At 35.1% G+C, this 12,679-nt stretch overlaps 1 pseudogene across 1 annotated transcript; it reads left to right on the forward strand.

Annotated features, from left to right (window-relative positions):
* The first annotated feature begins 318 nt into the window (after positions 1-318).
* XKRYP7 (XK related, Y-linked pseudogene 7) lies at positions 319-1,899 on the forward strand (annotated as a pseudogene). Its single transcript, NR_171027.1, has one exon. The product of NR_171027.1 is annotated as an XK related, Y-linked pseudogene 7 (transcript).

The raw sequence follows: 12,679 nt of genomic DNA on the forward strand, positions 1-12,679 counted from the left end.
TTTCTCTTTGGGTATCCCTGAAGGAATAAATGGACTCTCGATATTCATTTTCTAAATGGTGTTAGAAAATGAATAGTTACTTTAGATGAGTAAAGACTATTTGGCCTCTTTTTGTTTTCTGGCTTCATTTCATTGTGTATGAAGACTGTATTATTTTAACCCTTCTGTATATGTGAAATGAATTTTTACTCTTTCAACTGAATGTAGTAGAAGATTGTTTAAACTGATTATACAGCTACTACATAATTTTGTTTTTCTTCCTTGTGCATATTAGTCTAATTATTGGGATAACAATGTCAAAATTAAATTAATTTTCGTATTAAAAACTTCTGATAAAATTACCTAAGTACACACAAACAAAAACATGCCCACACAAATCACTTAATTTCTAAAACTTTTAATTTTTCTGCTTCTCTAGTACCTTGTATTCCATCACACAGCAAAATCTGGCAGCTCCACTTCCAGAATTTACTTGAACTCCACAGCTTATTTCCGATTTCCTGTTATCACCAGAGTCTAAAACACAGTTTATATTGCATTCACCTCCTATTTTACACCGTAATTTCCTACTTTACACTCTAACTTTATATAAAAAAGAAACTACCTTTTCAAGATCTAATTCACGCAATTTTATTTGTTCTTAATTGAGACTTCTTTCTAGGTGCTGTCACACCTTGTAACGTCAGATACAAATGTCTCTATCCAATTTCATGAGTTCCAGTTATTTTATTTTAAGGGAATGTGTATATACATTTATAAATTTGTGTATGTGTGTATTCACTTATTCTTTATTTTATATGTTTTGCATGCATATATTCACTAAATCCCTGATAATGGAAAGATAACAAATCTTTTTTTTTCTTTCTTTTTTGTATGTAAATTATTTTCCGAAGGAGGTGGGTTGGGAGAAATATATCTTAACTTGGCAAGTTTAAAAGAGAAAGTGGCCATTACTAATGAAAATTATTCTCTAGCATTTTCATGTTTATCTTTAATAGCATTGCTGATGACATATTCCCTCTTATCAGTTGTGTAGGTGCCATTCACTGCAATATACTGGCCATCCGCACTGGCAACGACTTTGCTGCCATTAAGCTACAGGTGATAAAATTGATCTATCTCATGATATGGCATTCGTTGGTGATTATCTCACCTGTAGTGACTCTGGCATTCTTCCCTGCATCTCTGAAACAGGGGAGCTTACACTTTCTATTAATCATATATTTTGTATTATTGTTGACACCATGGCTGGAGTTTTCGAAAAGTGGAACTCATCTTCCTAGCAACACAAAAAATAATTCCAGCATGGTGGGTAAGTATGGATGCTTATCTTAATCATGCTAGTATATGCTGCCATCAATTCTCCTGCTTGTCAGCAGTGAAACTGCAGCTGTCAAATGAGGAATTGATAAGAGACACGAGGTGGGACATACAATCCTACACTACAGATTTCAGTTTTTAGAAAATGTGATAATAATATTGATATTTAGTTTCTTTGGAGGGAACGTTTTACCGAAGTGTTGTGACTCAATAATTGCCGTGTAGTTCATCAAAACCTACATATTAGCCTTTGGCTTTAAGCTCCGCTTCTGTCAGTATTTGCAACCAAGGTGGTCGGGCAAAGTATTGCCAGGAGATACTGAAAATCATCCAGAAGCACTGTGATATTGTGTAAGCATCTGGAGAAAATTCAGTTAAAAGAATAAAAGTAAGCAGCTGAGGAATTACTATCACTCATGGAGAAGGGTAGGATATTTTCAATAAGTGAGTATGCAATATCCATATATACTTTCACAGAACAAAGAGTAAAGAGGCTGAGTGTGACTTTATAAAGATACTCATAAAAAATATAAACAACAAAACCTTGGAAGTAGTTTCTAATAAAATTGATTTTTCTAATGTGACTATGCATTAATAATTTTTGTTTTCTTAAATATAATTGTACAGCTTATTAAACAAAACAAAATGAAAAATCCATCTGGCTACAAAAACTAAGCAGAAAAAATAACCATAATACATTTTTCACCTAGTACATTTTGGAACCTATACCTTTAATTTAATAAGTGCTTGTAATATAGCATATACACTATCAGTGAACATTTGCTTTTCACCCTTTTCCCTCTGTGGTACAGAAACATTTTAGTTTGATGTAATGTGATCCAATTGTTTTTTGTTGTGCTTTTCTAGTCTGTGCTTTTGGGGTCATAGAATTGAGTGTTCAAAAATACAGTTAAATTAAAAATAAGAATTACCACATAATCCAGCTACTCTACTTCCAGATACGTACTCAAAGGATATAAAATTAGCATGGCAATGAGATATCTGCACTTCTATATTCATCTCAGCATTATTCATAACAGCCAAGATACGGTAACAACCTAAGTGCACATCAAGAGATAAAGTGTGGCACATATACACAATGAGATATACTATACAGCCTTAAAAAAGGAGGAAGATCTTTTATTTATTTGTGACAAAATGAATGGAATTGGAAGATATTATGCTCAGTGTAATAAGAGAGGCACAGAAAGACAAGTATAGAATGATCACTATTATATGTAAAATCTAAAAAAGTTGAACTCATTCAAACTGTGAATATGCCAGATGTGGTGGCTCATGCCTGTCACTCCAGCACTAAGGGAGGATGAGGTGGTTGGATCACTTGAGGTCAGAAGTTTGAAGCCACCGTGAGCCATAATTGTGTCACTGTACTCCAGCCTGGGCAATGCAGCAAGGCCGTGACTCTTTCTACAAACACACAAAAAGTAGTCAGAGATTGGAGTGTGGGGTGGTGATGGGCGTGGATAGAGAAAGGGGAGGTGTTCATCAAAGGGTAACAAATTTCAGTGAGACAGGAAGAAGTTCTGGTGATCCTTTGCACAGAATGGTGATCACAGTTAATAAATGTCAACTTAAAAATTGTTTAATAAAAAAAAGGACAGGCATGGTGACTCATGTCTGAAATCCCTGCACTTTGGGTGGCCATGGAGGGAGGATCAGTAGAGGTCAGGAGTTCAAGACCAGCCTGGCCAACATGATGAAACACTGTCTCTACTGAAAATATAAGAATTAGCCAGGTTTGGTGGCATGCACATCTCACCCCAGCTACTCGAGTGGCTGAGGCAAGAGAAAAACTTGAACTCGGGAGGTGGCAGTTGAAATGAGCTGAGTTTGCACCAGTGCACTCAAGTCTGGGCAACAGGAGCAAAACTCTATCTCAAAAATAAGGATTGTTTAAAATGTAGAATTTATATATTCTTACCACAAAGAAAGAAATGGTATGTATGTGAGGTAATGGATATGGTAACTAGCCCAATATAATTCTTTTGCAATATATACATGAATTATAAAATCACTTTGTGTCCCATAAATATTTATATTTGTTAATTTAAAATACAAATTTTAAAAGAATGAATTGCAGTTAAAACAAACTTGACTTAATATATGTAGACAGTAATATATGCTAATGTTTCCTTCTATTTTGAATATTTGGCTTCTGTTATTTCTTGAGGAAACAAACACCATGGGAAGGGATGAAGAACACTAGATCTTAACATTGTATAATTTACATTATTTTGTTGGTGGTGGTTTTTCTCCATTTTTTTCTACCAAGGCAATGGTGACAACTTTCTTATTCACACTTTCTTTTGTGTTTCTTTTTCCTGAGAAATCACCACCAAAAATAAAACTTGTGTAGATTTGTGTATATTTTTTACTGCTCCTTGTTATGACCCTCTTCGCCTTTGCTTTGGATTTCCCAGCTTCTTAAAACACTGATTTGCTTATTATTTGTTGTCTCCTTGTACCATTACTTCTTTGCTCTACCTGCAGGATCATTTCTTTTTATTTTAGTTTAGTTTAATTTTTTTGAGAGAGAGTCTCTGGCACAATCTTGACTCAGTGCAACCTTGGCCTCTTGGATTCAGGTGATTGATTCTCCTGCCTCAGCCTCCTGAGTATCTGATATTACAGGTATGCACTACCACGCTTGGCTAGTTTTAGAACTTATAATTGTGATGGGGTTTCACCGTGTTGCCAAGGCTGGTCTCAAACTGACCTCAAATGATTCCCCACCTCAGCCTCCCAAAGTGCTGCAATTACAGGTGTAAGATGCCACACCCCATTTGATCATTTTCTTTACTAGATCTACATGCTGCTTGTCTTAGTTCTAGATATGCCACTGTCAACTCATTTATTTATTTTCTATGATAGGAAGACTCATGGAAAGAGTTGCCTGTGACAAGGTTTAATTTTATTTTTCTTAACTCTCCTTTCTTCAGGCATTTACCCTGTTTTTGGAATCATATCTTATACTTGTCACTAAATCCCATATATCACTTGTCTATTGCGTATTACTCAAACAGTCGTGTGTATCTGTAAAACTGATTCACACCCTCATTCTTGAAATACTATTTTGCTTTGGATTACATGACTCAACTTTCGTCTGATTTCTCTATTTAATTGTCAGTGTGTTTTGTTTCATTTTATCTCGTAGATGTCTGTTTGTTAGACCACTAATATAACTACACAGAATACCTCTTTCTCCTTCCCTTTCTCCTTTCCCTTTTCCCTTCCCTTTTTCTTTTCTTTCCTTTCTTTTTTTTAAGAAAGTGTTCTGTAACGCAGTCTGCAGTGCAGTAGTGAGACCTTGACTGACTACAGCCTCAAATTGCTGGGCTTAAGCAATTTTCCTGCATTGGTCTCCTCAGTAGCTGAGACTACAGATGCACACTACCACACCTGGCTTTTTGTTGATGTTGTTTTGAGACAAAAGCCTCTTAAGTTTTAAACCTGTAGTACTAAGGAATTCAACCAGTGATATGATCGGAATTCAACCAGTGATATGATCTCTGAATTTCTAACATTGTGCTTTCCTTTTTCTGATGAGTGACCCAAGATTAAGAGAGCTAAATTTAAAACTTCCCCTGAACTTCTTTACACTTTCTACATGCCTCTCTCTTCCATCATTTTTTGTCCAAAACTACATCACCTGTATAACATAAAAACTGGGGATATTCCACGTCCAATTATTTTCCCTCGTCTCTTTCATATTTTATCTATAACAACTTTTTTATTATCTACCACCTACAAATGTTTTTTTTTTCTTGTTGCTGTTTATGCATTAAAGGTGAGGTCATCATTTATTGTTCCCTAAATGATAGTATCAACATCTTAATTTACTTCCTTCTTCTGTGTTACCTTGTTCAATTCATTTTTCATTGAGGGTCTAGAATTATTCTACTTTTCAATGAATAAAACACATCTCTTGTCTTTTCCTTTCTATTCTTGATCCTTTCTGCTTTACTATTAACTGTTACTTTATGAAGTGAGGAGCCATTTCAGTGTTATTTACTATTATATCCACCATTTTAAGCTAAAATTCTGAGATATAATAACCTCTCTCTAAGTGTTTAATATTATAATAAATAATACAACTTTGTAATTTCAGTATTGTTTTTGAATACTTAGTCTACATAGTATTTATGAAACAATATTTTAGTTGATTTGCAGATAAGCTTATGTTATTTTTTCACTCACTCCTTCCATTTGTATCCATCCTAGCTGTAAGACATTTAGAGGTGTGAACTTGACATATTCTTCTCTATACTTGAGAGCCTGTTGAAGTTATATGAATAAAGAAATGTACATTGACCATTTAATTCATATAAATAAATATAAATGTTTAATAGTTAAAATTTACTTAAACGTTTTTATTACTTAAATGTATTATTACAGTTATTATTTACATTTTTTATTATTCAAAACTCAATACAGGAAACAAACATGGAAAAATCTCAAGTAATTTATTATTTATCATTCCTTTTATTGTAGAGGTCACAAGCTTTCTCCTTACTGGTTAGGGCCATATTTCCAGAACAGTCGTAACATTTCACTTCTCATTTCCTAGTGAAATCTGAGGAGTGTCTTTTGAACTCTATGGTGATATGCCTACAACTACCTAGTGTAACTCTGTCTTCTTAGGAGGGTATGACTCTACAAGATGAGTATGATAATGTCCTAAAATACCATCCTTACATTTAATTATATAAAACACCACTAATGTAATAATAATACATGAGCTGCACATTACGTAGTCTATTTAGAGAGTTAATTTTTACGCTCAAATACTTTAGTTAGAGACTGTGAGATTAAACTGACCCAAGATGGAACTTAATTTTTTGTAACAACTACCATGCTATGGTGAAATGAAAACTGAACTCTTAATAATTTGGAAAACAATAAAGTCATATCACTTATAAGTTGCTAACAAAAACATGTATTTCTTAACTATTACTTATTACATGAAAGACAGAATGGCTTTCATGATAATGATGGAAGCAGTGTCAAATAAAATCTTACAAAACAGTCTGGACACGATGGCTCATGACTGTAATCCCAGCACTTTGGGAGGCTGAGGCAGGTGGATGACTTGAGGTCAAGAGTTTGAGACAAGCCTGGCCATCATGGTGAAACGCCCTCTCTACTAAAAATAAGAACATTAGCTAGGCATGGGGGTGCATGCCTGTAATCCCAGCTACTCAGGAAGCTGAGACAAGAGAATCCCTTGAACCTGGAAGGCAGAGGCTGCAGGGAGCCAAGATCGCACCACTGCACTCTGGCCTGGGTGAGAGAGTGAGACTCCATCTCAAAAAATACCTCTCCGAACATTAAAAAGCAAGGTAGATTTAATCAACTTTCTATTTTACGCTGTAATTAAAGTTAATTGGGTTAAAAGTGAAGAGATATAAGGAAGAGACAACAACCTCAGACTTGATTTTTGGAGCTCTGGAATCTAATAACGTCACTCAAGGGTGCGTTTAATGAAGAAAGACCTGACCTCTAAGTTTGGGCAAGACAGTATGTGGCATTTTAACTTCCCATCATCACCCACTCCATGGCTTCATGGAAACCGTGAATAAGATTAAATTCTAGATGCAGATTTTGATGCATGTGTGGAAATACAGAACTTATTTCAAATAATTGCGGTTGTGTGATTTAAAATGTCTGAGGTTCCCTTGGAGATTTTCAGTTCAGAGTCTTTTCTTTAGCCCACCTCAGAGCTTTCTTGGGTGCAGAAGTTGACTCCCAGGAGGCATTTGCGGAAAGGAAATATACTAGTCAGAGCCACCTATAGCAAGGAATAAGAGTCAGGTCAAGTAGTACACAAACAAAATGCCTGGAAAGAAGTGGCTGGTGAAGAAAAGTGATGTGGAAAATCAGCTTTGAAAAATTCTCACAGTTCGTTGCTGTTTATATTGGATTGGGTTTTAAATAGAGACAGAACTTGCCCTGTGGCCCACAGTGGAGTCCTGTGGCAGGATCATGGCCTACTGCAGCGGCAACCTCCTTGGGTTCAAATGATCTTGCCACCTCAGCCTCCTGAGCATCTCACCTCTCTGGACTCCACCAATCCTCCCCGCTCAGCATTTCACAGTACAGGCATGGGCCTCCAAAACTAGCTTATTTTTGTATTTTTTTATACAGAAGAGTCTTTCCATGTTGTCAAGGCTGGTCTCGTACTTCTGGGCTCAAGTGATTTGTTCTCCAAGCCTTCCAAATTGGTGGGATTACAGATATGAACCACCACACCCAGACTCCTACTGGTATATTTAGAAGGATATAAATATGTCCACTTTTGGATGCATGCATGGCGAAGACCCCAAAACTTTTCACTTTTCCCTGACTTTTGACTAAACACTAGAGTTCCTGAAAAGTCTATATGCAAATTCTGAATAGTTTTTCTTTTCTTTCTTTTCCTTTTTTTCTTTTCTTTCCTATGATTTTTTTTAATGTGTCAAAGATAGTAGATGACCAAAAGGATGACAGAACACAGGTTAAGTGGCCACACATGACAAAGAATACAGACTACAAAACTAGCTGTAAGGAGTTGTTAAACAAGTACACAACCCACAAGCTAAGCAATTGTGGAGGTCAAGAATTTGTTATCTGAGTATGCTGAATAATATGCAAAGTGTTCAGCATTCAACAATAAAATAAAAGGCATTCAAAGATAAATGCAAAAAAAGCACATTCAGAGAAAACATAATTAAAAGAAGCTATTTCAGAAAGCCCAGGCATGGTACTAACTAGGGAAATATTTCAATTCTCTTCAAAAAGAAGAGAATTGAGACCTTCAAAGGTCTGTTCTCAAAGACCTAAGGGAACCCAGTAGAACAGTGATTCAAAATTGAAAATACCAATAAAGACATACACATTATTTAAAAAATGAAATCAATAATCTGTAACTAGAAAGATTGAATAGCTTGTGTGAGCATGCAAAAAGCGTAATGAGGCAACTTGAAGATGGATTGTTTGATATTATTCAGTGTATGAAACAAAAACAGGAACAAGAATAATGAACAAAACTAAGGTTGCCATGGGATTCTATCAAGAATATCAACATATTCATAATGGGAGTTTCACTGAAAAAAGAGAAATACAGGGGAAAAAAAGAATATTTGAATGAACAGTGGCTGAAACTTCACAAATGTGTTGATAGATGGAAATCTACTGATCCAAATATCTCCAAAGGAAAAAAAAAATACTTCAGGAAGAATAAAATCAAAGATATCCACACTGAAACACATGCACTGAAACTGACAGAAGACAAATAAATAGAGAACTTTAAAAGAAGCAAGACAGAAGTAACTGATCACATGCAAGTTATCATCCATGACATTAACAGCCAATTTCTCATTAAAAATTATGGAGGAAATAAGTCACTGTGTTGAGATCTTCAAAGTGCTGAAATAAAAAAAAATTAAGTCAATCATAAACTCAATATCTGTCCAAACCAAAATTTAAATTTATGAGCAAGTAAGTCATTTCCAAGCAAACAGAATTAAAGAGAGTACGTTACTACTAGATCAGCCTTACAAAACATGATGAAAACATGTAAGGAATGAAAGTAAAATAGCACCTCATGTGCAAATAAAGAAATAAAGAACATCAATGAAGTAATTACACCAAGAAATAGGAAAGCCAATATTATTGTATATGGGGTTTCTGTGACTTTATTTTTCTACTAGATTTAAATGACAAGAGGAAAGATACAGTATCTCACAACTGTAATCCCAACCAAGGATCGGGATTTCCTTGAGCTGAGGAGTATGAGACCAGTCAAGGCAACAAAGTGTGAACCTGTCTCTACAGAAAATGAACAAAATTATCCAGCTGTGGTGGCATACACTTCTGTCCTAGGTACATGAGGGGCTGAGGTGGACGGATCCCTTGAGCCCAGGAGCTCGAGGCTGTAGTGAACCATATTTAGCCTATGTGACTGAAACCCTGTCTCAAATGAAGTAAAATAAAATTCAATAATAAAATAAAGAAATGACAAAGAATAAAACAATAATTACATATCTGGGTTGTTAGTACATATTGTATAAAAAACAATTTTTGACAAAAAAACATAGAAAGGTAGGGAGAGCAATATGGGAAAATGATTTTTGTATAATGTCAATACTAAGTTATTGTAATTCACACTATATTATTATGAATTTAAGATATTAATTATAATACCATTAATAGCCAATAAGAAAATAACTGTTCAAATATACTGAAGAGAAATGAAGGAGTCTAAATTGTACCCTAGAAAAACAAATGCAAAGATGAGCAGTTTTGGAGGAATGATATATAACAACAACAATAACAAAACTTGTAGAACAAAAGAACAAAAATAGGAAAATAAATTCTTGTCAGCAATTAATTTCAGTCCAAATAAACTCCAGTTAAATGTCAAAGACTAGCAGAATAACTTTTTAAACGTTTTAAAAGTGGGGAAAAAATAATGCAAACGGTAACCAAAATAGAGTTAGAATTATTAGACAAATATCAAAATTGTTTAATTGATCAAGAAGATGTAACACTTTCATATATACCTAATAAAAGATCCTCAGGATATATGAAGCAAAAAATGAATAGATTTGAGGAGCTACACAGTTCTGCAATAATAATAATAGTTGGAGATTTCAACACCCCACTTTCAACAATGTGTAAAATGACCAAATCCAAGTTCAATAAGAAAACAAAGGTCTTCAAAAGCAGTATAAACCAAATAAATCTCTCAGACATATACAAAACACTCCACAAGCTGACTACACATTCTTCTAAAGTGTATATGTGTTATTCTCTGTGCTATCTTCAGAATAGACTCTGTGGTAGGCCACAAAGCAAGTTCTAATTATATCTAACATTATTGAAATCACATATAATGCTTTCTTCAACCACAATGGAATAAAACTAGAGGCCCGTTTTCTTTTTTTTTCTTTATTTCTTTTTTCTTTATTTATTTAAAGAAAAATAGATAAATAAGTTGGAGTCTCACTCTGTCACCCAGACTGGAATTCAGTGGTGTGATCTCAACTCACCACAACCTTTCATGGTCAAGCAATTCTCCTGCCTCATACTCCTGAGTAGCTGGGACTACAGGCACACACCACCGTGCTAGGCTAATTTTTGTAGTTTCAGTGGAGACAGTTTCACTGTATTGATGAGGCTAGTCTCAAACTACTGACCTCAGGTGATACACCCACTCCGGTCTCTCAAAGTGCTCGGATTATACGCATGACCACCACGCCTGACTGAGATTCATTTTCTAAAGACTGAAAAATGTATATTGTTTGGAAAATAATAAATACACTCTTCAACAACCTATGGTTAACTGAAGAATCTGCAAGGAATTAATTTTCACAAACAAAAGAAAAACTAAAACATACTAAAGCTTCTGAAATGCGCTAAATCAATGTTGAGAAATATATATGTGTAAAGATAGAGATAAAAAAGAAGAAATGTAAAATTTGTAACATAAATGTACACACAAGGAAGCAGAAAAAGTGTAAATTAGAGGAGAGTACTTTTGTAAAAAATATGGCAAAGTAAAGGAAGCTGCCCATCAATTGCCCCCAACCCTAACCCCCCAAGAACACCCACAGAAAAACCAAAACTGAGTATACAGTGCTGAGATTATCACCATCAATAACACAGAGCTCAAAAGTGAGAATGAGCCTGCTCCTAGGGTGACAGAGAAGTGAAGAAACCAGGCAGAGGGTAAAAAAGTTGGCCTTTTATATTCATGACACTTGTCCCCTAGTCTGCTGACAACCAAGTGTGAACAAAACAAACAAACAAAAAAACTCCTCTGACTCTTGGTTACTACACTTACTAAAATAAAGTTTAAAGTGGATGGCCAGCTTCCCCATCATTTTGGATTCCCTGGCAGGAGAATTATTCCTGTCTTTACCCAAGGAAGTCTTGTGAGTGCCTGAAAAGAGAAAAAAAAACCTGAGGAAAACCAGGGATGAAGTAGAAAGAAGGACTACCATCTCCAGCCTGGATAGCTCAGTCACAGGAGATGCCAAACCTGAGTGCCTGCACAGCATTACCATAAGGTAGGAGGTATATTGCATAATTTCCTTGATCACAAACCTATAGAGAGCCTTCCCACACAGGATATCCCCTTCAAAATGTCTCAGATAGGAGACTGGCAGTGTTTCAAAGTTTGTTTGTTAGAGCTGAAATAAACCTGGGCTTAAGGCACCATCTACTGCCAAAACAGAGGCACTGACCTAGCCAAAATCAAGCAAACAATACCCCACAATACTTATGTCTTAAAGAAAACTCAAAGCAATTATATACAACAAAATGTAAAATAAGACAGAGAAAACAATAAACTAAATAACTAGTCCTTCAATAAAAAGATACAGATGTATAACCACGAGCAATAATACCAAACAGGAAATTATAACCTCCCTTAATGGACAAAGCATAAACCATTGACCAATGCTAATTAATGAGATGGCTATCAGTGATTATTGGATCAAAAATTCAAAATATCAGCTTTCAGGAAATTCAGATCTCTAAAACAACACAGAAAAGGAACTGATAACGCTTCTGAAAGAAACTTTAAAAAATGTACTGAAATTATTTAACAATAAAAAAAGTCCTGGAACTGAGAAATATACTGGTTAAAGTGGAAAATTAAGAAGGCTTTCAATAGAAGAATATATCAAACAGAATAAACAATCAGTGAGCTCTAAAATGAGTTATCAGGAACAGGTGTGCAGGCTCAGGCCTGTAATCACAGCACTTTGGGAGGCTGCGATGGGTTGATCACTTGAGTTTGGCAGTTTAAGACCAGTCTGGGCATCATGGTGAAACCCTGTCTCTACTAAGAATACAAAAAATTACCTGGGCATAGTGGTGCACACCTGTAATCCCAGCTATTCAGGAGGCTAAGAGAGGAGAATCACCCAAACCTGGGAGGCAGAGGTTGCAGTGAGTCAGTGTCGTGCCATTGAAGTCCAGCCTGGGCAACACAGAGAGACTTTGTCTAAACAAAACAAAACAAAACAAAAAAGTAAAAGAAAAAAAGAAAAGAAAAGAAAATTAACATAGGTTATTCAGAAATGCACAAAGAACAAAACAGAAAAACAATCAAAAAGAATAAAGAACATTTACCAGATATACAAAATTACCTTAAATAAGCAAATCTAAGATTTAGCAATATTCATGAAAGAGTTCCGCAAAAGGAAGGTATATACAGCATATTCAAATGAATAATAACAACTTTCAAAAATTTGAGAGAGAGATAAATATACAGGTTCAGAAAAATCGGCAACTACAAAAAAGATTAATACCCCATAAAACTACCCCACAACAAACAAGAATCAAACTCTGG

The sequence above is a fragment of the Homo sapiens genome, chromosome Y, assembly GCF_000001405.40.
Source record: "Homo sapiens chromosome Y, GRCh38.p14 Primary Assembly".
NCBI classification, from domain to species: Eukaryota; Metazoa; Chordata; class Mammalia; order Primates; family Hominidae; genus Homo; species Homo sapiens.